This window comes from Homo sapiens, chromosome 3 (assembly GCF_000001405.40).
Source record: "Homo sapiens chromosome 3, GRCh38.p14 Primary Assembly".
NCBI classification, from domain to species: Eukaryota; Metazoa; Chordata; class Mammalia; order Primates; family Hominidae; genus Homo; species Homo sapiens.
In genome coordinates this window covers 71,520,852-71,546,935 of record NC_000003.12, presented here as the reverse complement: position 1 = coordinate 71,546,935, position 26,084 = coordinate 71,520,852, and the positions used below count along the sequence as shown (strand labels likewise).

The following is a 26,084-nucleotide window of genomic DNA, read 5'->3' as shown; positions in this document are numbered from 1 at the left end:
TCTTTGCAATTTCCTTCTTTTCTCAAGCTCATGATGAAAATTGACCCTTCAGTTTTATTTTCAGATGAAAGCTCAAGCAACAAGCCAGCGCTTGCCTCCATTAGTGGCTCTGGGTAGTCCTTGCAGGAGAAATCACCATCAGCAAATCATCGTCCGTTTAGAGTGGGCTGCAGAGGCTAGGCAGCTCCCTGACTTCACTGTCCAGGAGCCTCTTAGAAATGAGCAAGGAGTGGCACTGGTGCTAGTGCCATTCAGCAAGGCTTTGGAGGTGTGCTTCGCTGCATTGGGGTACCTGATGAACAGCATCTCGGTGGTTGGGTATCTTGCACCCAGGCTAGAAGGTTAACTTCCATTAAGCTTTATTCAACCCTGCATCATAGAAGTGGTGGGTAGGTGTTTGTGCATCTCTGTGTGTATATGAATGACATGGCCAGAGGCTCCACTGTTCCATCATCGAAAAGTTTCTTAAAGGGACCTTATGAAGAACCACATGGAATTTGTAACTTGATCACGAAATTTGGACCATTAAGGACCTGAAAATAGCTCTTCGGTTTTGTGGGTCACACCTTTCTCTAAGCTCAGTTAATGAGCAAATCTTTATTCTTTACAAGATTAGCCAGGTGTATTTCGTGAATGTTAACTTTAGCCTTGGCTGCTTGGCCCTGCTGCTAATGAGGCCAAAGTGGGAATTCCTGCCTCTTGTGGACCAGTTACCTTCACTCTCTTACCTGGCCACCGACCACTAACCCTCGCCAGCTGGCTTGTGAATGTCTGCAGTTGGATGTTGGAGTGTGGGGAGGTGGGTGGGGGAAGGTGTTGTATGGATTAATGCAAATCCATGACCCCTCCTGGGGAAAAGCCACACACACATACTCCATGGAACAAGGGTCAAGTGCATTGTCTCCACTTTTGAAAGGCAATAGAGTTGATTAAGGTTAACTCGAAAATACTGATGTTGGCTAGAATTTTGGACTTTTGCCAGGATATATGCAACATTTAAAGTGATTTCTGGAAACCTGTGCCCATGGTTCACTGGTAGAGGAGCTTAAGATGAATAAAACAGTGAAAACCAGGGAGAGTGTGATTACTTTTAAATATGCAGCAACAAAAGGGACATGGCAATAGCTTAAAAATCTGTTTTCTAGGAATGTAATATTTTCCAAAATCTTAAGCTGGCTTACATCATATTTGGGTTGTAGGTTCTTCAGACTTTTACTTTTGGTTCCTACCTATTGCGAAAACGATATATATAGGTTAAATTTATATTATAGCTATTTATTATGGAATTGCATATTAAATAGAAATCTTGCAGTTACTGAAAACTTTTAGGATTTTAAACAAACATTAAGGAGCATATAATGTTCTAGAAGATAAATATTTGCATAAGGCAGTTCAGTCCTTCAGCATGTGTATTTTTAAAAACAAACAAAACCCCATCAATATTTACCCTAAGTGTAATTTGCAAAGTAAAATGAGAGTAATTTTGAAATCTTGTGTAACTCTGATTCATTTATTTTCATAGGATGGATTTACATTTTGGAATGATAAATGTGCAATAAAGAGCTATTAGGAAAACCATTATTTCTCTCAGATTTGGGAAATTCTAACACTGCTTTGTTACATATCACTATTTCCCAAAGAAAAGAAAATTAGGCCCAGACAAACTGTGACTTACCCAAGGTCACTTACTCAACTAGAAAGTGGCTGAGCTTTGGTGAAAACCAGTCCTTCTCTCCCTCAGACCAGTGGTATTTCCATGACAGCATGCTGATTTTTTTCAGGGAGCATATGCGCGCATGTACATGTGTAAATAAAATGGTTATTTTTAATAAAAAAAAAATTGTTTTACCACCCATGGTCCTGGTTAAAATCGCTATTTTGCTTCCTTTTAACAGACTGCAAGCGTGGTGACTTGGAAATATCATTTTCTTTCTCATCCTTTCAAGAAGCAAATTCAGCGTATTGCTTTACAGTCTTAACATTTTTTTATGTCTCTAGATACAGAATTGACTTTGTCTTTTCTTTGCCTTCTAAGCTGTTTAGAGCAAGGTGAGATTACAATCATAAGCTGAATCTGGAAAAAAAAAGCCCTATTATCTTTCTTGACTACCCTCATTGCCTGGAAAAGAACTATTATCCAAGTTTCACTTAATCATATGGTAACTTACAACAGTTGTGATTTGTAAAATACATGACGATTTGGTCTTGTCTCCTTTGTCTCTCTTACCTCTTTGTGATCATATTCTGCTTATTTTAATGCATGACCAGCCAACTGTGTTATTTTTCAGAAAGACCACCCCACATATAAAATGGAGTGGTCTTTAAATGTCTTGGGCTTTGAAAGATTGTTTAGCCATTCCTTCCCAAGTGCTTCAGGTTTGGATTTTGGAAACGTATGTTTTTGCCATTGGTGTCACTGCAAATGTTCTCATCTTCCTTTTTTCTTTGAATTTGATCAAACTTTGTTCACTTGTAGTACTTCCACGATCAGCAGAGTCTGTCTAGTCTTTCCTGCTTTTTCCTTTTTTTTGTTCCAAATTTTCCTTTTTTTTTTTTTCCATTTCTTTACTTTCCTTTGATACATCTTTTTAAAAAGTCAAAGTGGAAATATATGTAATTGACCAATGCTATAGCAGTTTATAGATGATATAAATTATTAAAAGAAATAAATACATATTTTATAACTGGATTTATATCATAAAATATTTCTAACCTTTATAGAAGGATTTATATATTTTTATTTATATCTTTTAAGTACTTATATCTTTTTAATACTGCTACGGCATTGGTCACTTGTATGTATTCGGCTCTGATTTTCCTAAAAGACATAGTAAAGGAAAGTAATAGAAATACACACATATATGTGTGTATATGTATGTGTATACACACATATATGTGTGTATATGTGTGTATATGTGTGTATACACACATACATGTGTGTATATGTGTATATATAGTGTGTAAACACACACAGGCACAGCATATAGTAAATAAGAGAATTTCATATCTTTACAAATATATTCAAAAGAGAACCACTTCAAACACATGGGTTTTACTGAATGAAGATCACTTCTACCTTTATGTGGTGGTCTAAGGTTTCTGTCACTTTCTTTGTTAGTTGTATTTGAAAGCAGGTGAGTAAACCAGAAAGAAATGATTCAGTCTGCCTGCTCCAGGCACAGAAGTAGAGGGATATAGGCCTGCAGCTCTCAGGCTTTCTGTGGACCTGCTTCCCCACTCTGTTTTGAGGCAGAAACTGGGGGATGTCAGCTCAAGCTTTGCTTGGCCACATGTGCCTCCACGGCTAGCTGAGAGTCACGTAGATGCCACTTGTCACATACACCCTTGGATCTGAGCTGCTTGAGGGTGTTACCACACATCACAGCTTGGTGCTGGGGCTCAGCATGGCCAGGTGGCTAACCAGGGCTTGGTGTCAACTACATTTGGGATGATGACACTTGGAGGACACAGAGCCACTGTGCAGCAGGAGTCGCCACTGCTAACAGCCAGAGGTTGGTGCCCATTTTGCCCCAATCCTCCTCAGTCCCTTCTCAAGTGGAAATTTTGCAAGTCGACTTCTGCAGCGTGCGTAGTACAATTTGGCTGACAGCAGTTTCTGGCAAAAGAAATAACCAAATTATTATTCAGTCATGGTTTTTTAACAGCCGCAAAGCAAGTGGATGTTAACTAAATGATGCAATTTATTCCCTTCCCTCTTATTGCCAGCTTGCCTATTACAGAGCGACTGCCAGTTTTCAATAAGTGGTACCCAGATGGTATTCGCATGCCGCCCACTTGGTTACAGAGCCGAAGCGGGGAATAACTCGGCAGACACTACAAGCTGTGGGTCAATTGAGGGGGAATGCCTGTTGCTTCACAGTTTTGCATATGTAAATCTGTTAATGTTATGTCAGTATTGTGCGGGCTAAACACAAGCATTGCCTTTCTCTGGGGGCCCAGCTGAACTTGGACCACAGCCCAGTTATACCGAGGCTCGGAGAGCGAAGCTGCAGTTTGAGGATGCTACACCGCCTGCTCCCCTCCACTCTTGCCTCCATGCTTTTGTGTTATCTGCAGCCCAAGCTGGATGCAGGAAGTGTCTGCCATAGGCTGACTCCATAATAGGACAGGCAGGCCGGGTTTTATGAGCTGGCTGCGGAGGGAGGAGTGTGAGTATGTGTCTATTTTTAGGCCAGCCTTCAAGACAGTTCCTTTGGCCCAGCCTGCGCCTGCCTGCCTCGCTCACACTCTCCTCTGTGTGTCTGCCACACTTCTGCTCTCCATTTCATCAACTGCAGATGTGGCACACAGCCGTCTTAGAAAAGTCATGAACTGTGTCGTCTGTGCGGCTTAACAGCCAACATCTGCTGCAGCAGGCTGAAGGAAGAGGCAGGGAAATCATTTTCGGGAATGCACTCAAGTGCCTCAACTTAGCCTCTACTTTGGCCTGTGCAGACAATTATTTTACACTAATTGCATCAAGATAGCAGCTATAAAAACGAGATTTCGATCGCTCTGCTCCCCCACCCCTCTTGTGAAAGTTGCAGTTACAAAGGGGTAGTTCTTTTTTCTTTTTATTGTGGTTTGTTTCTTGTTCTCAAAAGCTTATTACATTGGGTGCAAACAACAACAAAAATGCCATAAAAAGGCAAGAATCGTAATATGCTTAAGAGCTAAAAAGACCTATGGTGTTGGTTTAACCAATGAAAATATTCCTGCAGGTATTGTAAAATTTATGTGCCATATGAAAAACATTAAGGGTGTTGTTTTTTTCACAGAGGAAAATGTTCATTGTTGAGCCATTTTGTAAATTATTTTAATGCTGCATTTCTGCTTAAACCTCATGATTTTGATATATAAGCCAGTTTAATGTTTTCTATACAGACCCTGGCTTTTCTTAAATTTTATATATTGGAAAGCCCATGTTTGTATTGGAAACTGCTGGTTTCTTTCATACTGAAAATCTGTCTCGCGCGGCGTGATGCCATGTGGCAAAGGAGTAGTTTGACCAGAGTCAAACCTCGAGTGTTGACTTTTGAGTCCTAAAAACTAGGCAAGACCGTCTGAATAAATAATCTAGAAGGTGTTTTTTTGTTTGTTTTAAAACCAGGAGTCTTTTGACAGCAATAAGAATAGCATCTCTGCAGTACAGTATGGACTTTCTAATGCATTGGTCTGTTTCAACTTTTCATCTTCTTGTAACAGAGGCAACATTGTGTTCAGTATCTGAGCCTTAACTTTTTTTTTTTAATGCTCTCGGAGTAAATTCTGGTGAAATACGCATTCCAGCATCTCGGATTCTCTTGAAAGATTTGTTTCTGTGACATTTTGCTGTATCTGTTGTGCAGCTAGAGTAGCATGCTTCTCTCCTCACATTTCAAGTCTCTAGACTTTGTTCTGAAGAGCCAGATGGAAGTATGCAGATTGTTTTTATCTTTTGTCCTTCACACTGTAACCTGATCTCCAGCATATCTAGACATCTAGCAGAAAATTTACTATGTGAAAGCAAGGAAATGATTTAGAAATATGGACCAGCCAGGAAAGAAAGGGCTCAAGATGTACTTTATCAGAGTAAATCTCTCCACCCAACTCCCATACCCTTCTTTTTTTATTTTCATTAAAAAATGCTTTTCTCTTCTAGGGTATGTCTACATATGCCCAAATATTATTCTTCTCTTTTAACAGGGACTGAGAATTATAATTGACCAGTGAGTTTGGTAAAGGTGTAAATAGGTGTGCGATGAAAGTTGATTACCTAATAATTGAAAGCTTGGAAAAAGCATGAATTGGTAGAATCCTAGACTTGGCAATGGCCTTATAAATTAGGGCAGTGCAGTTTGCTAAAAGAAGGGACTTGTCCAAAGTTACATACCACGGTTGAGACAGATTCAGGACTCAAAGCCAGCATTGCCTCAGTGGCTGCAGGAAACAATGGAATCTCAGGCTTCATGGTTTGTGGGGTTTTAATGGCAAGATATTTGTAACCTTTTTGTTAATGTTCTCCTACCTCTTTAACTTGTGGTCCTAAAAACCTTGTTTCCTTCTAATCTTTCATTGGTGTTTGGATTCACATTAGTAACTAAACATATTCACCACCATATTAGGGCACTGGATATTTGCTACACTTGTAAGTGTACACAATATGCGTGTATGTCTGTATTCATACATATTCAGCATAGTGCACACATTTGGAGTCAGGAGACCTGGGTTTAAATGCCAACGGTGGCAGTTTGGAGAAGCGAGGCCTTAGGTGAATTACCCTGACATCTCCAGGTCTCTGTTGTCCCTGCTCTAGAATCGTGATGATAATAATACTTGCCTTAAGGTTGTCCCAAGAAGTTAATGAGATTATGTACATGAGACACTTAGCATGGTGCCCCTGCAGCACATACAGTATTCTTGTCCTTAACGAAAGTTTATTATTTTAATTGATTATCTGTTACCCTTGACAACAAAGGAAAGTAGTGATAAATGCCATATTTAGCCTTGAGTTTCAACATTTTTCTCCTGTAGATTGGTTTGTGTTTCTCACCCTTCTTGTCCCCCCTTCACTCTTTCTTTTCTAGCACCTTCTGCAGCATTTCTTGTTTTACCTTTGGGTGTCATTAGACGTTGTTTACATCATTGTCTGGCGGACCAGTGCTGTTTGCAAAAAGCTCAGGTGCTTCCTCTCCTGCTTACTCTTATTCTCTTCCTTGTCTAGTGACATTGTCTTGAACTTTCTAGCTGGGAAAGACTAAAGGGGATTTGTCACCTGGCAGGGGCCCTCACCAAACTTGTGTCATGCTTGAGAATATTTTGCCTCATTATCGTCAGTAATATCTTCAATGCACACCATTAAGACCAACCTAGGGCTTGAAGAAATGAATATTTAAGGGCATATTTATTGCCTAGATTAGAAAATACAGATTTTAAGTGTTTTCTGCTACTGATAAACTTTGTTCATTCAACAGGTGTTTATTTAGATGTCTACTATGTGCTAGGTGTGCAGGATAAGCAAGACAGACACTATTTGTGCTCTCATGAAGCTTAAAAAGCCTGACATGAATCTTGACATATAGTATCTCCCTGAAATCCAGCTTTAGTTTTACCTTCGATTTCTGTTAGGCTTTGGTCCTTGTTTCTTGTACATCTACTGATTGACTTTCTACAATTCCAACTTAAAATTTATGCTAATAAAAAAGATTTCAAGCTATTGTATTTACAATAGCATCAAAAATACTTAGGAATAGATATAATAAAAGAAGTATAAAACTCATACACTGAAAACTACAAAATATTCTTGAAAGAAGTTAAAGACCTAAGTAAATGGAAAGATATCATATGTTCATAGACTGGAAGACTTATTGTTATCAAGGTGGCACTCTCCATGTTGATCTACAGATTTAATTGCAGTCCCTACCAAAATCCCAGGTATTTTTTTTTTTTTGGCAGAAATCGATAGATTGATGCTAAAAGTCATATGGAAATGCCAGGAAGCCAGAATAGCCAAAACACTTGAAAAAGAACAGAGATGACCGAGCGCGGCGGCTCACGCCTGTAATCCCAGCACTTTGGAAGGCTGAGGCAGGTGGATCACGAGGTCAGGAGATCGAGACCATCCTGGCTAACACGGTGAAACCCCATCTCTACTAACATACAAAAAAAAAAAAAAAAATTAGCTGGGCATGGTGGCAGGTGCCTGTAGTCCCAGCTACTAGGGAGGCTGAGGCAGGAGAATGGCGTGAACCCGGGAGGCGGAGCTTGCAGTGAGCCAAGATTGCGCCACTGCACCCCAGCCTGGGCGACAGAGCGAGACCCCATCTCAAACAAAAAAAAAATAAAAACAAAAAAATAAAAAATAAAAAAACCTAAAACAAAGCTACAATAATCAAGAAAGTATGGTACGAGAATAAGTATGGAGATACAGATCAATGGAATAGAATTGAGAGTCAAGAAATAAACCCTTACATTTATGGTCAGCTGATTGTCAACAAGGGTGCCAAGCCAATTCAGTGGAGAAAGAATAGTCTTCTTAACAGATGATGCTGAGAAAAACAGTATATTCACGTGCAAAAGAATGTAGTTGGACCTCTACTTTACAACATACACATCGAAGACCCGAAAGTATTAAGACCTAAATATAGAAAACTCTTAGAAGAAATTATAGGAATAAATCTTCTTCATGACCATGGATAAGGCAGTGGTTTCTTAGATGTGAAACCAAACCACACGCAACAAAGAACAAATAGATAAACTGGGACCTAGCATTTCTACTCCTGCATATGAACCCAAGAGGAATGAAATTGTCTATCTACAGAAAAGCTTGTACATAAATGTTCATAGGAGAATGATTTATAATAGCCAAAGAGTGGAGACAACTCAGATGTCTATCAACTGGTGGATCAACAAAATGTGATGAATGTTTGCAATGCAGTGTTTTTCAGCCACAAAAAGGAATGAAGTACTCCTGCTGCACCATTGATGAACTTTGCAAACATTGTGCTAACTAAAAGAAGCCAGACACCAAGGGACCGCATATTCAATTCCATTTATAAGAAAGATCCAGAACTGGCAAATCCATTAAGACACAAAGTAGATTTGTAGTTGCAGGGAGCTGGAGAGAGAGGAATGGGGAGAGACTGCTAATGGGTATAGGATCTCTTTTGGGGGTGGTGATCTTCTAACTTATATTGTGGTGATGGTTTCACAACCGTTGAATATACTAAAATCCATTCAGTTCTATTGTTTAAAAGGGTGAATTTTATGGCATGTGAATTGTATCTTAATAAAAAGATTTCACGATCTGTCTGCATTTCTTTACTTGTAGAATGAGGCACTGCTGATTGTGCTCTCTTTTGGCTAATGCAGGGGTCAGCAAATTTCTGTAAAGGGCCAGATAGTAAATCCATTAGGCTTTGCAGGCCATACAGTCTCTCAGCTCTCTTAGTTTTGCCATTGTAGTGCAAAAGCAGCCATAGACAATCTGTAAGTGACTGGGTGTGGTTGTGTTCCAATAAAACTTTATTTATGAATACCGAAATTTCAATTTCACATCGTGTTCATGTGTCACCAAATAGTATTTTCATTGTCTTCTTCAACCATATAAAAATGTAAAAATCACTCTCAGCTCATGGCCTGTAAAAAGCAGGTGGTCAGAAAGATTTGGCCTACAGGCTAGTAGTTTGCCAACCTCTGTGCTGTTGCTACAAAAAGCTTTAAATACATGTTAGCAGCTTCATTAGAGGAGGTATTATTCTTGTCCCTATTTCAAAGATGAAGCAGTTGAGAATTCCAGAGGCTGAGGCAAGTCACCCAGATATTGGCTGCCAGGGCTGGTCCTTGACTCTGTTGAGTTCCAGAACCTGTGCCAAAAAAACACCGTCTTTCTGTCTGACCCATCTGGGTCAGTCAAGGCAGCCCAGCCCCTTCTAGCTGTGCAGGTCACTGCATGCTTCTCCGACTTGGCCTCTGCGCCTGCCTGGTGCCATTCATTATCCTGCATCTTCCATTCATTCTGGAATGCACACTTCCTTCACTCCCTTCTAGTACACTTTTCCATACTGCTGAGCCAATACCCACACTGAGCTGGGGGAAAAACAAATCCACCACCTTGCCTCGCTTTCAGTCTTTCCTCGTGACTCACTCCTTCTGGGAAGGCAATGCCTCGGCCACCTTTTGACCCTAAATCCAGCTGGAACTGAGTTCGCCTTGCTGGCTGCTGGGCTCTGCCTTGATCATCTGTCTTTCGGGAGGCAGATTGGCTGTGCATCATTTCAACCGTCTGCAGTGACAAGTTTTTTAGAGCCTCTTTGTTTCATTTAGTACCCAGGCCTTGGTTAGGACCTTAAAGGAAGTTAAAACCCCAGTGGCACCTTTTATTTAGGGATCGCTGGCTCGCTTGGCCTCAGTCTTCTACTCGCCTTTCCCACGTCCACCTGACATCCTGGGACAGTTGGCAGACCTTCCCTCCATGGCTCAGGTGGGCAGGAGGCAGAGTCAGCAGGGGTGTTAAGTCACTTCTACATCTCTGCGTGGCCGTCATCGCTGCTATTCTGCACATGTGTTGCCACTGGGGAAAATGGGACACTATATAGAGGGTGTCTTCTCCCACCACACTCTGTGGGGGTGGGAGAACCCACACCAAACGATCATCATGTTGGATTTGCATCATGGCACATTGAGAATGTGTTCAGTGGGACTGTGGATACTATGGAACCTTTCCCACAGAGTCCTTTGTAATGCCTCTGCTAGGATCCAGTTCATTGCTCAAACACCCATACATTTTTGCCCTTTATATGCGAGGATTTTATTCTGAAAGCTGTGTTATCTGTGCTGCTTTTCCAAGACAGAGCAACAACTACCAAAAAAAAAAAAAAAAAAGAGACATGGTTTAGAAGTGTTTAAGTGATAAATGCAAGCTCTTTATTTATGACTCATAATGTGGTTAAGAGTCCTTCGACTTTAGTACAGTCTCCATTCCTAGTAGTTTGGACTGTGTGAAGTGCTAAAATTCCGATTCTGTGCAAAAATGATCCTGCCAGTTGCTGACTAGGGTGACTGGGGTGTGGAGGTGAAGACATAGACCCTCTGAGCATTTGGGTAGGGGATGCGTAGGGTAAGCGAATTGCATTGTTCTGCAATTCGTGGGTCACAAGTAAATTATTGAGAGTTCAGAAACTTCTTCTTTGGCCTAAAATATTTAAAAAGTACTCCTTGTAGGGTGTCTTTGGTTATAAGTAACAGAGGGAATTTTTAGGGATGATTTAGAGTGGGATCATGGAACCCATGGTGAAATTGAAAACTGGAATCCTTCAGGACATGAGGCACCTTCTCTCTGTGTCACTCTTCTTGTGTCTCGTTGTGTTTTGACTGTGCTTTATTTTGCTCTCCCTCCCTGCAGACTACCTCAAGGCAACTGTTAGTCTGCAAATGGCCTCTCAGGACTGCCCCCAAGGGTCACCCTTGATCTCTAAGGCTTTCAGAATTCTGTCATATTATTCTGTCTGAATACTTAGTGTTCTTGTTAGGAGCCTTGGTGTTGTAGGTAGCTAACAGGCAAGCCAGGGTGGAGGGCACGGGGAGGCGTTGTGTGTATTAGAAGGATCTTGGGATATCTTTAGGACTCTGGGATGCCGCCATATCTCAGAGTGGGGCAGAACCAGGAATGGGAATCACCAGGAGCCTGAACAGAGTTCTCTAATTTCTCATCCCTGTTTCTTTCTCTTCTTTTGAGACAGAGTCTCCCTCTGTCACCCAGTCTGGAGTGTAGTGGTGCGACTGCAGCTTACTGCAGCCTTCACCTCCCAGGCTCAAAGATCCTACCTCAGCCTCCCAAGTAGCTGGGACCACAGGTGCACGCCACCACGTCCAAGCTAACATTTTGTGTTTTTGTTGTTGTTGTTGTTGTTGTTGTTAGAGATGGGTTTTTGTCATATTGCTCAGGCTGGTCTCGAACTCCTGGCCTCAAGTGATCCACCTGCCTTGGCCTCCCAAAGTGCTAGGATTCCAGGCATGAGCCACTGTGCCTGGCCTCATCCCTGTTTCTCGCTGCATATCTCTGCTTTGCCACTGGCTCTCAGCAGACTCGCCCCTCTGCTTCTCAGGCCATGACCTGCTTGCCATGAATTCTGAGTGGACCTATTAAGTTCTCCTCCAGTGAAATAACATCTTACCTGAAGGTCAGGTTCTGAAGTTAGCATATGAGATGAAAATTGCTTATGGTTAAAATATCCTTTCAGAGCCTTGGAAGTCACCAGTAAGCAGGGCCAGATGCACCTGGTTTGTGGGGCATGTGGGATCAAAGACCCACTAAAGGAACACAGGATTTTCAGCTCCTTTTGCTCCCGGGCATTTGCTCATCATTTGCACTATTACTAAATGCTCTTCCCTTCCCTGCTCCTTCTCCAAGCATTGGTACATGTCTTTGTGCTAGTTAAGCTTGAGTACATTGTGATTTCACTAGATCACACTCCCAATTTCAAGTTCAGTGTGAAGAATATAGAGGTTCTGGTTGGTCTAGCCTTGGCCACGTATGTGTCCCTCATAGGTCAGCTCTGGCTTAGAGTGGCTGGTTACATTCAGGAAATGCTCATACTTTTAAATTAAATTTGCAAAAATAAGAGAGAGTCTTGGAACAAATAATGAGAATGAGACCTAGAAAAGTGACAGTTGGAATATGGTCCCTGGCTGTGGTGAGCCCTTAAATAGAGTGTTTTCCAGGGTCTGCATAGAGTCACCTGTGGACTACTGTTGAAATGCAGATTTCTCAACCCCATCCAACCCCACTCTGGCTCTGTCCCATCTTCTAGAGGTTGAGCCAAAGATCTGCATTTTCAAGTAAGCAAACCAGATGAATCTTATCCACACTAAAGTTTAATTACTGCTTATAAGAGGAAGATATTGGGCTGTTTTAACTACATTTGGAGTAAAGCTTTTTAATTCTAGTGAGAAGTGGAGTTGACCTTTGAACTGGGGGTGTCTACTCATACGTGGATTTTTTTTCGACCACATGCAGAGTGAAAACTCAGTGTTGGTGAATGGGAAACCAGTGTATAGGGAGAGCCTTAGGGTTTTTTGTTGTTGTTGTTGTTGTTGTTTTTGACAGAGTTTTTGCCTAGGCTGGAGTGCAATGGCGTGATCTCCACTCACTGCAACCTCCACCCCCCCAGGTCCAAGCGATTCTCCTGCCTTGGCCTCCTGAGTAGCTGGGATTACAGGCGTACGCCACCACACCTGGCTAATTTTGTATTTTTAGTAGAGACAGGGTTTCACTGTGTTGGCCAGGCTGGTCTCGAACTCCTGACCTCAGGTCATCCGCCTGCCTTGGCCTCCCAAATTGCTGAGATTACAGGCGTTTGCCACCGCGCACAGCTGCCTTTGAGGGTTTTGCAGGGCTGACTGCAGGACTTGAGTATGCACGGATTTTGGTCTACTTACGGGTTCTGAACCAGTCCCCCAATATACAGACGGACAACTGTGATTATGCTCCTTCTCTTTTTTGAACAATTGGGCTTCCCGTGACACCAAGGCTTAGGGCTTTTTCTGTATTCATTTTGGGTTACAATCACCTTAAACCCATTTTTGAGGAAGGTGGATTCCAAAGAAATGTTGAGTTCTGTTATTTTTCCTTGTATTTCTTGTAGCTCTCTGGAGGATTGCATCATAATGGCTGAAGACTTTAATTATTCATTCAACAAAAGAATAAGATGGAGACTAAAATTTGTCTGGAGGATGTTTTGCATGTCATCCCAATCTTTGCTATTGCCCCCTTTAAAACACCCGAAAAATAATTCTGCAGAATTAAAGAGTGAGGGGAAGGATTTGAAATTGTTCACAGAACAATAATGGGGTTGGGGACGCCAATTTTCCACACAGTCGAAAATCTGGGTGTAACTTATGATTCCCCAAAACATAACTACCAGAGCTTACTGTAGAACAGAAGCTTTCCTGGTAACATAAACAGTCAATTAACACATATTTTGTATGTTCCATATATAATATATTGCTGTATTCTGACAATAAAGTAAGCTAGAGGAAATGAAATGTTATTAAGAATATCATAAGGAAGACAAAATATATTTACTCTTCATTAAGTGGAAATGACTCATCATCGTTCTTTACATTGAGTAGGCTGAGAAGGTGGAGGAAAGGGAGGGGTTGGTCTTGCTTGTGCAGGGCTGGCAGGGGTGGAAGAAAATCCTCTCATAAGTGGGCCTGTGCACTTCCAACCCAGGTTGTTCAAGGCTCAACTGTACATACCATGATAATGCATCTTGCCTAATTAACAGTTGTGAAATGTTGGAGTTATGTGGTATTTTTATTTCATATTAAGAAAGTCAAAAATATTTTTGTAGCAGTTGAGTTCTCACTGGCCGCTGCAGAAGTATTTGTTAAAACTTGTATGGTAACTTTACCTTCTGGTAGATTCTAAACTCTTTCTTTCTGATTGCAGGAGCAAGATGTATCAACCAGGGTCCTATGCTTTGATTTGGAATGTTTGAATATGACTCATGTTTATTTCCTTCAAGGATGAAGTGTGTATACCTCAGTAGATCCTGTCCCCCGCCTCGCCTCCTGAAAATGTATGCTTAAAAACAAATTATGAAGTTATTGCTAGATATGTGGTTGGAGTGGCCAGTGTAAACTTAGTTGTTGCTTACGGCACTTTCTGTTCTCTGTGGAACAGAAGGGCGGGGCAGGTGGGGAACTGGAAGAAGCAGCTTCCCTTTGCTTTTCCTGCCAAATTTAGTAAAAAAAGAAAAAAAAGAGGGAGGCCCCACCTTGTCTTCATCTCCTGTCTGCACAGTTGGGCATGGATTGGGAGGAGATCTTGCCAACACTGTGAGTTTTAATAAGTTATTTTAAAAATTTCCTACCTTAAGGAAACTCACACTGACACCAAATTAATTTTTTTAAAAAATCATTCCACTAGGACCTGTCTTGCCAACAGTTTTGGGTAAAACACTGAAGGTAAGATGACAGCCATCCAGGGAGTGTATTTGGTTTGTGGGACCATCCACTTTTGGGTGTTTGAGTAACTTCATTAATAGTTTCTTTGTGCCGGCCGTGGTGGCTCATGCCTGTAATCTCAGCACTTTGGGAGGCCGAAGTAGGCAGATCGCTTGAGCTCAGGAGTTGGAGACCAGCCTGGGCAATACGGCAAAACCCCGTCTCTACAAAAAATACAAAAATTTGGGTGTGGTGGCACACATCTGTAGTTCCAGCTACTCAGGAGGCTGAGGCGGGAGGATTGCTTGAGCCCAGGAGGTGGAGGTTGCAGTTAGCCAAGATCACGCCACTGCACACCAGTCTGGGCAACACAGTGAGACCCTGTCTCAAAACAAAAGAATTTTTTTTCTTTGCTGTGCCAGGTGATGGAGGAACTTTTGCAAGAGAGATAAAAAAGAAGACTGCCTATTAAGTCAATGGAAGCCTGTAGGACTTGAGATTTCATTGAAATAAGTAAAAGGAATTGTAGAATTGAGCATGTGGAAGTCGCATAAATGACATTCGGTTTTTTCAGAGTATTCTGAAATGGTGGGGTACACAACACATATAGTTGGGCTATAAATTTCATGCGTCCTCCACTTACCTACATAGTAAGGTAGGAAGATACAAAATCTTGGGTCTAGAACGCTGTAGTTGAAGGATCTGTCTACCTGAACACACAAACGTTCCCAGTTAAGCCTTTTCCATGTAGGTTTCAACTTGTTGGCCCATCCCAAACATCTTTGGCTTGAAGATGGTTACCTTTACCTAGTCAGAAATGATAAATCATTCCTCTCCTAAATGATCACACTGGAGATAACTGTGCAGTCAGGGAAGCAAAACAAAAAAAAGATGGTCATGAGAACATTGGCTGTTGTGTATTTTCTTCTTACTCCTAACAAGGCAGTGTGCTTTCTTTGTTTCCTCACTTATTTGTTTGTTTCCTTCCTTCTTTTTTTTTGTCCAATTTGTTCCTCAAGTAGAGCTCCTCTATTTAAACCAGGGTGGACTGGCAATATAGTGCTCTGAGGTCTTTTCCTGTTGAGGGCCCCAGTTTCTTCCCGTAGAATAGCAGTAGTTTACAGCTGTAACTGGAGCCAGGCCGATAGCTGAGTGGCTTCTTGCTGTGAGCTGCTGCCGGGCAGCTGCCTGTGCTAGTGGAAATGGCAGGCCCCTTCTGAGTGACCTTGGGCAGCGTTACCTTTGTAAATCCCATCTCATCAGGGTCCAGGGATTGAATCCTAAGCCCGGATTTGAACCGATATCTCCTACTTTGCCTGAGCATTGCACTGAGCCCTGGGCCCGGAAGAAATTATATTTATTTATGTGCGTCCCTCCTCAGAGGTGGAGATAGTGGAAATAAGGAACAAAGGTTTTATTCACACCTGAACGCAGATTTAAACATAAGGAAGTGAGAAACAAGTTTTATTAATAGCTGTGCTATTTAGATGGTGCTGTAGGAAGAATCTTGATTTATAAAATTATGATCTACTTCCATTTCCATGGTGGGGGCCCATTTGGGGGCAGAATGGGAAAGTTAGTACAAATTAGCTCAGTCTTTTTCCTTCGCCATTCCTGGATGGGGTTGGGGGGTAGTTTTCTTCAGGTTTTCATTGACCCCTCCATACAGGCTGTAGTCACATGGCCCTGGGTTCAAATCCTAATTTTGTTAGTGTACGGCACATCTCAGCTAAATTGCCCACTCTTCGTTTTCTGGTTGTAAAACTGGAACAATCACACCTACCTTGTTGTCATGAACGTTAAATGAGACAGTGCTTAGAAAGGGCTTAACACAGTATGTGCAACATAATTACTGATTTTGTGAGAAATGACCTTTGAGATTACCTCTGATATGTCAGTTCCCCTTCAGATAGGGAGTGAACAATAGAAAAACTCCTTCCTCCTGCTATACTCTCCATACAGAACACTTACGGTCACCACAATGTGTAGGGGGTTTCTTTCACACCAACTGTCTTGGTCCACTTTGTGTTGCTATAACAGAATCCACAGACTGGATCATTAATAAAGGAAAGAAATTTATTATTATTAGTTATTTCAGTTCTGGAGGCTGGGAAGTTCAAGATTGAGGGGCTGCACCTGTCGAGGGCCTTTTGGGTTATCACGTGGCGGGAGGGTGTGCATGAGAGCAAAAGAGGGCTGAGCTTGCTTCTGTAGCAATCCCACTCTCAGTAATGAACCCACTCCCGAGGTGACAACATTAATCCATTCATGGGGGCAGAGGCCTGATGACCTAATCACCTCTTAAAAGGTCCCATCTCTCAACACTGTTGCACTGGGGATTAAGATTCTACGCATAAACTTAGGGAGATGCATTCAAACCATAGCACTAACCAGTTCTCCAACACCAGCTGGGTGTCCTGTCATTCAATTCAGTTCTGACACCATCTACCTGGAGATGGCATCAGATCCCACAGGTTAAGGGCTCGGCCCCACTAGACTGCCCCTGCTTTGGACACAGGTGCCATGTTGTCACCTATGCTTCTGACCCACCGGCTAGAAATTAGAAGTTTCCTTGACCCCTCCTTGGGTTCAGTCACTAATTAGAATAGCTTACACAACTCTAGGAAACACTTAGGTTTACTGGTTTATTGGAAACAGTATTGTGGTATTACATCAAGGATACTGATGAACAGCCAAATGGAAGACAGTCGCAGGACAAGGTATGTAGGAAGGGGCAAGGAGATGCCATGCCTTCTCTGGAGGTGGCAACCCCAGGAACCTCGACATGTTCAGCATTCAGAAGCTCTCCAAATCCCATCCTTCTGAGTTTCTATGGAGGCTTCGTTATGTAGGCATGATTGATGAAATCATTGGCTATTGGTGATCAACTTAACCTTCAGTCCCTCTCCCCTCTCTGGAAGTCAGAACTTGGAGGTCAGAGGCTGGAGCTGAAAGTTCCCACTCTGCAATCATGTGGCTGGTTTCCCTGGCAACTGGCTCCCCCATCCTGAGGCCTTGCTGCAGTGCCCAGCCATGGCATACAAAAAGACAATTATCACTTTGGGGTTTCCAAAGTTTTTAAGGACTATGTGCCAAGAAACAAGGGCAGAGACCAAATATTTATTTCTTATTATGTCATAAGGAGTTTGATGCAATTTTCCAAAGAGGGCAAAGAGACTTGGGTAAGATAACACACTAGTACTTTCTTTCAAATTTTGACTCAAATTGAACTATCAACATGAAGAGAATATTGTTGTGGCTAATATGCATGTGAAGTATTGAGACATACTAACAAACTGAAAACTTTTTGTCAAGTCACATCAGCAGGAAAACTAAATCATTAGATCAATGGGCAGGAGTGTGCTTTTTCATCCTAGCTGAGTTACAGAGTCGGATGTCAGGAGGTTTGACTTTTGGTTTTCTTTTTATTCATCACAGAAAAGCCTCCTGTATTGAATTCTAAGGTGAGCCTTATAGATAGAGTACACCAGTTAGCTGGTGCAAAGTTTTGCCTTATATGGCAATCTCTTTCAAAACCAGAGATGCTTCTTAGTTTAGCATTACTAAGTTAAACATTCATGATCGCTATTCCTTGAAGATACTTCATACTTCAAGACTGTCTTACAAATCAGCTAGTAAAGAATACCCCTTTGTTTTCCTTCTTTCATACCTAACCCCCACCTTCAGGCCAAAGCTGTGTCTTTGAAGTTCTGAGTGACATTATCCATTCTTACTTGTTTGGGGTAAACTATCTTAAATGTCACATGTTTTGTATGCCTTCTTCCCATATTCCTCTCTTTTTCTTGTTCAAGTAGTCCAGCCCCCTTATTAATTTTGTTTATCCAAGTCAAGTGTTTCTTCAGAATGTACCCTCTACATAAATCAGGGTAAATGACTCCGCATCACTAACTTCAAATTGATCTGTGACCTCTGTGTTCCATGACAATACAGGAGTGGAACGCCAGCAGTCCATATCCTTTGATACTGTGAGTAAGTTTTGAGGACATTAGAAGGTCAAACATTATTTATTATTTCTTTGAGTTTGCTTGATGGCAATCACAGCTCTGTGGAAGTCAATCAAGTCTCTTGATAATTCTGTTTAGGCGGTATATAATTAGGCGTTTAAAATTAGTTAAGTGCCTGTTTTGCTATGCATTTCACATTCTCTTTGGAAGGCATGTTTACCAGATGACTTTGGGGACATCTTTTACTTCAGCTTTTCCCCGAGCTGAGAGTTTGAAAGTTAGGGAATTCTTTCTACTTGTATTACCTGTTTGTCAGCAATTTACTAGAGTTGTTTTTGTTTAACACTGAACAAATGCCGGGAGGTGTAAGCACAAACATGTTTTCATAAAGAGAACCAAGAAGAAACCACAATAGTGACTGCATTGTTGGGGATCTGCATTTTTAGGTGTGTGAGTATTTCTTAAAAAAACAATAAACCATCTATACACAAAGTCTCTTTGCTTTTTTCCTGGCATCTTGATGTCCTGTAGACACCGTGGTCTTTCTCTTTGAATGACCCAAAGTCTGTATCATTACTGCAGAATTGCTGTCTGAAAATTAAAACATGGGATAGTGAGCAAATAAATATGGCAAAGTGTAATTTAAAAGGAAACCAGTTTATTTGAAATCAAAGTATATGTAGACAGGACAGGATGAACTGTTTAAAAGGGCAATTTTTGATTCTTAAACAACAGGCTTCCCTTTGGCGTCCCATTTTGAAACCTTTGTAAAGCATGGCCCAGCATCACACAAACATATATTTTTTTTCTCTTTGTTTTTTCCCCCCTATTGTACAGATTGTCGGGGGAAACACAGATGAAAAATTCTAATACTTAATTACACTGTAAGGAGCAGGTGACCAGATGCTGGTTACACTCTGCACCTCTCCTTTTAGTCATGGATGGTAGTGGATGGAGTTGGACTTGAAGCTAGGTCTATGTAGACCTTGAGCATTTGTGCTGTGTTTATAGCTTTTAGCATAATCTGAGCTTTTTGGGTGAGAGATCGTCTCATCAAACCTCCAGCTTGGATGTGGACATTGAAGTAGTGATCAGTTAAGGACTTTGTGAGGGTCACTTAGCTTGGGAGCAGATCTCATCACAGGACCCCTTCCAGTCTACTGGGTGAGAGAGTGAGCATCTGGAAGGCAGGGCTCTGTCTGTCTTGATTTTGAACTCCTTGATCTTGCTGTTGATGCTTGAGAGAATCATTAGGCATTGTTAACTTAATTATTCTTTGCTGCTCCTTGCTCTGGAGTTGCCTGACAGTCACAGATCACCTGTTACTGTTTTGACTGGCTGCTCTGGTGTGAAATTGGGATTGTTCACTGTACAAGCTTGCCTGGCTGAGGGGGCAAGTAGGAGCTGATACCTTGCCTGTGTTCTTCTTCTTAGGCTCTGGGCCTTGTCTGCATCAGCCTAGAGGAAGAAGAGTCTTTACAATTTTGTCTTGCATATACAGTAGTGCCCTCTGCTCACCAAGCCATGTAGGGCTACCTCCCTGCAGAGGGGAACTTTTTTTTTTTTTTTTTTTGAGTTGGAGTTATACTCTTGTTGCCCAGGCTGGAGTGCAATGGCGTGATCTTGGCTCACCGCGACCTCTGCCTCCCAGGTTTAAGCAATTCTCCTGCCCCAGCCTCCCAAGTAGCTGGGATTACAGGCATGCGCCACCACGCCCGACTAATTTTGTATTTTTAGTAGAGATGGGGTTTCTCCATGTTGGTCAGGCAGGTCTCTAACTCCCGACCTTGGGTGATCCGCCCACCTCGGCCTCCCAAAGTGCTGGGATTATAGGCGTGAGCCACCGTGCCTGGCTGGGAATGTTTTTCTAGTTCACACAAATGCATGGGTGGGATGGCTGAGGCTTGGCAGTGATGCAGTACACTCCCACAGTGCTACATTCAAAGAAGATTTTTAATAAACACTGATTAAAATGTAAGACCCTAAAATGACTCATTTGCTTCTTAGAGCCCCGTTTCTGCTTTGGATGGAATTCCCTTACTATATTAATGTTTGTCCCAGTTTTTATTCCTTGCAGGTTTCTATATGATGTGTAGTTTGTGTTTAGACTATTACTGACTGTACCTTTCAGCAGGGATTGTTTGTATCTGTTAAGGTAGTTTTAAAGATTTCCCTGGCAGAGAAGGTCCACTTTGTCGGCTGAGGCACAGATTTGGGCCTGAACTCTGGATTCTTACTGCATGTGCATATTCCTGGGATCTGAAGGTGAGGCAGAAGGAAGGGGCTGGCCCTGGAGTTTTTAGCTCATCATGTATCAGTGTGGCCATAATTTTGGTCATTGTGTTCACCGACATCATAGTACCACCGGTACTCTTGTTTGTTTGTTTGTTTGTTTGTTTGTTTATTTATTTATATATTTAGAGACAGAGTCTCCCTCTGTCATCCAGTCTGGAGTGCAGTGGTGCGATCTTGGCTCACTGCAAATTCTGTCTCCTGGATTCAAGCAGTTGTCCTTCCTTAGCCTCCCAAGTAGTTGGGATTACAGGCGCCCACCACCATGCCTGGCTCATTTTGTTTTTGTATTTTTAGTAGAGATGGGGTTTTACCATGTTGGCCAGGCTGGTCTCGAACTCCTGACGTCAAGTGATCTGCCTGTCTCAGCCTCCCAAAGTGTTAGGATTACAAGCGTGAGCCACTGCACCCGGCCAGTACTCCTATATTTAAATGAATAAATTTTTTATATTACCTGATTTTTTAAAAAAAAACGTGAATCATCTTACACCAAAAAGAAACTTTCTATGGATTATTGTAATTAGAAAATCACTTGCCAGTAGAAGAAGGTGATGATAAAAATAAATAAATATAAAGGCCTCAGCAAGATTATGAAATAAGGGAAGGCTAAAGAAGAAGGAAGATGGTGAGGTCTTTCTTATTCTCCCTGTGGTTTCACAACCCTGTGCAGACCTTCGTTCAGGGTGTAGACCAGAGCTCTCAAAGGTGGTGATCTATGAGAATCACTTGAGAGTTTTAAAACAATTTGACTTCCTAGGGCCACAAATCCAGTTGATTCTGAAAAAGGACTTGAAATCTGTGTATGTTTTTTAAAGTTCTCTCAGCGATTGCCCAGCCAGTGAAACCACTGCCTTTTTTTCGTCTGAAATTAGTGAAAATTAGGGAATTTCTTAAAAATAGATTCACATATTTTGTAGCAGCCCATAATTTTCGTTGCTGTCTTTAGACCTGGAGGAATAGGCGTTTCATTCAACACTGTGTTTCCTTTTATTCCTAAAGCTAATTTTTTTATCCACCCTAGTTTTGGTGAAATTATGTATCACTTGTGATAATTCATTTTAAAAATTCCTGAGCTGTGTGGCGCACTTTCATGAAAATTCATTTAGATAAAATTAGATATTATTGTTTAATGAGGTGGCATTTCAATTTGGACCCTGCATCAGGCATATACCAAGAGTTTTTTATGGAAGAGTTAGGTTCATTTGAGTAATAAAGCCTGAATCATGGGGGCTTTAATTCTTAATCGCTGTGAGGATTGTTATCCGTGGGATGTGAGCTGTCTTAGTGGTATTCAATCAAGTGTCCACTTAGCCATGACTGGAAGTAATTGCTCCCAAGTGGGCCGCACGGTGACCTGTTAATACTCCCTTTGACCCTGTGACCTTGTCTGCCCCATTGTTTAGGATTTTATAGCAGGCAAGTCTGCATTTCTGTGGGGTCAAGTAGATATCTTGAGGTCAAACATTTTCTGATTACTGCCTAGTCCACACTGTAAGTCGACCAGAAGCTGTTGCATTGTTAATAGTCGTTGCTTTGTAGCGGAACATGAACAATTTGAAAATTGTCTTCCTAGCCTGCATGTAAACAGTTTAATATTTTACAGAAAGAAGTTCATCTTGTAAATTAGGTATGAATAATACATTTGTAATTACTCCTTGTGTCTTTAAACACTTGTGTCTTAATTGGCTTGCTTTTTTTTTTTTTTTTTTAAGATTTATTTGCATTTGCTAGCAAGTTAAAATTAACTCCTGTAGAAACCCAGCAACAAAGTGAGGACAGAGCATTCCAGGCCCCTCTGGTTCTGCTAGACTTAAAACTTGATTGAGTTTTTGGAAGGTGCATTCATTCTTTATTTTTATTCATTTATTTTTTCTTTGTTTGTTTTTTTGAGACAGTCTCACTATGGCACCCACGTTGGAGTGCAGTAGCTTGATCTTGGCTCACTGCAACCTCTGCTTCCTGATTCAAGTGATTCTCCTGCCTCAGCCTCCCTAGTAGCTGGGATTATAGGCGTACACCACCATGCCCGGCTGAATTTTGTATTTTTACTAGAGACGGGTTTTGCCATGTTGGCCAGGCTCATTCATTCTTTCTTTTAAACATTTGTTGGGGCCATTCAGCAAGAAACAAATGTGTTTGCTGTGCCTTCTGGAAAAGTGTCTGTCCCGTCACTCACTGAATTGAGGTTGTTTCTTGTTTTTTACCCTTTTTTATTTCATGGCATGGTGTTATTTTGGGTTTCTGTCTGTCGGCTGGTAACATACATTGTTTTTTCCAGTAGTTACATGGACACATTCCCTCATCTCCGTGATGAGTCAAGTAATCCAAGCCTGCTACACATCTCTTTGCTTTGTGGGTGATCCCGGCTGCTCTGCCCTCCCTCGAGTTTAGCAGAATTATAAAATGGGGGTGAGAGAAGGAGTTAAACTTGAAAGGTGAATTCAGTCACATCTGAATTCATTTTAGGGCCCTGTGAGTCATGTTAGGGCCTCCTAAAACTGTATCCATGCCTTATCTCACTTTTACCCATTCACACAATGGATTTTCTACAAATGCATATGTGGAAAAGTACAGCTAGAAAAAAAACAAAGGAAAATACACAATTAGGAAAGGAGGCAAACAGTGAATTTAGAATGCCCCCTAAGGTGACTCGGGATGTCACCGCAAAATAAAATACTCATGAAGAAAAATTAAGTGGCTCTTGCTACTGTTTTGAATGTATTATTCAAAACAATATATTGGCATCTTGGCTGCTCCTTCTTTATCTAAGTCTGAAATACGTACAATTTGTCTTAAGAGAGAAAGCCTTAATAGCTTAAAAATAAAGGGTTACTGTTTATTACAACTTCAGCAGTGGGGCCCATCCCCACTGAGGAAACACATAGCTTACTACGTAAATTATTGTCCCCCTGCCTCTGGCTTTAACACCAGAAATTTGTCATCTTTTGCTTCTAGAGCCAAGAAGTCCAAGACAAAGGTGTCAGCAGAGTGGACTCTTTCAGAAAGCTGTGAGGGAGAATGTTTCAGGCCCTTCTCCTACCTCCTGGCAGGGGCTGGCAATGTTTGCCATTCCTTGACTTGTAGGAGCGTTGCCTCGATCTCTGCCTTCATCTCCCTGTGGTGGTCTTTCTATGTGTTTGTCTATGTCCCAATTTCCCCTTTTTACAGACACCAGTCATATTGGATTAGGGTCCCACCCCACTTCAGTATGACCTCATCTTAACTAATTACATCTGCAGCAATCATATTCCAAGTAAGGTCACATTCGGATCCACCTTCTCTTTTCGCTCAGTTCATATAGTTGAATTCAGGAAAGTTAAATGTGTAAGTACTGCGGCTCCTGAGAATATTATGGAGTAGAATGCAAAATCTGTGGGAATTTGAAAGGAAAACCATGGGAAAGAGACATGGCAGTGTCTCTCTTGACTTTACGGTAGGCCCATCCCAGCTTGAGACCACTGCATTCTCTGTGTGCAAACATCAGACACAGATGTGCAGTAGGTGGGCCCAAGTCATGGGTCATATTTCTTTTTTTCAATATGACATCAGTGCATGATTGGCAGAGGCTGGCATTGGCCCAGAACGGTCTGAGTTATGGTCTCAGTCTTGAAGCTCTCTAGTGCCACCTGCTATATTTGAATCACTTTATATGAATTTTATTTGTCCCTCACAATGAACCTGGGAGGTGGCCAGTACCTTTTCTGTCTTTTAAGAAAGAAGACGCTGAGAATCAGGAAAGTCAATTCCCTGGCTTAGGTCACATAGCTAATTCAAGATTGAAACTCAAGCCTTTCTGAATCCAGAGCCTGTTTTCCTTCTGTCTCTCTGGCTCTGACTTATTAAGTGCCCCAATTTCCTATCTTCTCTTGGAAAACACCATCACAGGAAAAGGAATCTGGTGGTATTTCCTGTCTTTGGGTCTGTCTGTCTGTCTCTTTTTAAGCAGAGTAGAGTTTACCCTGAGAAATAGGAATATTATGAAAAAATAAGTTTCTCTAGATTGGATGTCCCAGCGTGGACAGATGAGCCCAGGGACCCTTGCCTCTGTCATTGGGCAGCTGCCCACAGGGAGCTCAGTGTTTTTGGTGCCAGTGTCTCTCTCGGAACTCTTGGCAGGCCCAAGGGTGTACTTGCAATTGCTGGTGCGTGGTATTTGGGATGTTTGTATGTGGCTGTTTTTTATTTTGGTTTTGTTATCTACCCTTTGTAATAGTAACTGGCACCATTTCTTGCTGTTCAGATGTTCTGTTGCTTTCAAACAAAGAGATCTGAAAATGTACCAAATCAGCGGGCTTCATAAAAAGTTTGGTGCATTGGAGCCAAGGCCGAGGTTTCTTGGGCCATCAGTGATGTGCTTAAAAGTCCAATGCGCCTTTCCATGAGCAGTTCCCCCTGCCTAGGAGGATACAGATGCCAGAGCCGACAGGAGCAAGCAGATGGCCTCACCCTGTTGTTGCTGTGGGAGAAACATTAGTTTCATGTGGCCAGATCTCCTCTCCTCATATCTTCCAAAGAAACCAGAAAACTCAAATTAACAAATGCTTAATCTTGATTATTAAGTGTTGGAAATAGAATAAAAATAAAGTCTGTCTAGTCTGGCCCAAGCGAAACAAATCTTTGGACCACATTTGGCTCTCAGGTCATTGATTTACAATTTTAGGCTTAGAACAGAGCCCCTGTCCTTCACCCAGGTCCCCCCCCTCCCCCTGCCCTTTTTTTTTTGAGACAGGGTCTCACTCTGTTGGCCAAACTGGAGTGCAGTGGTGTGATCTTGGCTCACCACAATCTCCACCTCCCAGGCTCAAGCGATTCTCCTGCCTCAGCCTCCCAAGTAGCTGAGATTACAGGCGCTTGCCACCACACCTGGCTAATTTTTGTATTTTTAGTAGAGACGAGGTTTCACCATATTGGCCAGGCTGGTCTCAAACTCCTGACCTCAGGCGATTCACTCGGCCTCCCAAAGTACTGGGATTACAGGCCTGAGCCACCACGCCCGGCCTCCTGGCCCCTTCTTATATTTACTTCAGATTACAGTGTAGATACCACATATCTCAGTGGCCTTCCCTGTGACTCTCTGTCCATCCCTTTCAGGAGCTTTCCTTGCTGCTATCATGTCCCTGACACCCCCTCCCCCACACCACCTAGCCTTGACTTTCCTGCATTTTAATTGTATTTCTCTGTCATCTTCATGGATCATGGCTTTTTCCCCATTATGTCCATGGTCTTGGCACCTGGTAGATGCACACTGTGTGATTGCTGAGTGGATATTGGGTGCAAGTCGGTGGGAGGGGAAAATGTCCTCATTTCTCCCTTGGTATATTTTTCTTTCTATATTCATTTGCATATGTGCTGCTCAGCGTGGGTGTCAGGGAGTTAGGTCATCCTTTTGTTCTCAGA

The 26,084-nt window shown here is 41.9% G+C and overlaps 1 protein-coding gene and 1 non-coding gene across 11 annotated transcripts in view, besides 1 other annotated feature; both read left to right on the top strand.

Annotated features, from left to right (window-relative positions):
- Positions 1 to 26,084, top strand: part of FOXP1 (forkhead box P1) — a 629,271-nt gene that overhangs the window by 37,043 nt on the left and 566,144 nt on the right. The window contains exon 1 of one of the 10 annotated variants that reach the window (NM_001244816.2): positions 3,379 to 3,512. The exons of the other annotated variants lie outside the window; for them this stretch is intronic. The gene's annotated coding sequence lies outside the window, so the exon portion shown is untranslated. Of the gene's footprint in view, positions 1 to 3,378; positions 3,513 to 26,084 lie in introns of those variants that run through there. 10 annotated transcript variants of the gene reach the window in all.
- Positions 4,847 to 4,966, top strand: MIR1284 (microRNA 1284). The gene has a single exon (NR_031697.1). It is a non-coding gene; the product is annotated as a microRNA 1284 (primary transcript).
- Positions 21,547 to 22,480: an enhancer, noted in NCBI's record as "VISTA enhancer hs1149". NCBI's record gives its function as "enhancer in: neural tube[5/10]" and the evidence as "EXISTENCE:transgenic organism evidence [ECO:0001131][PMID:17130149]".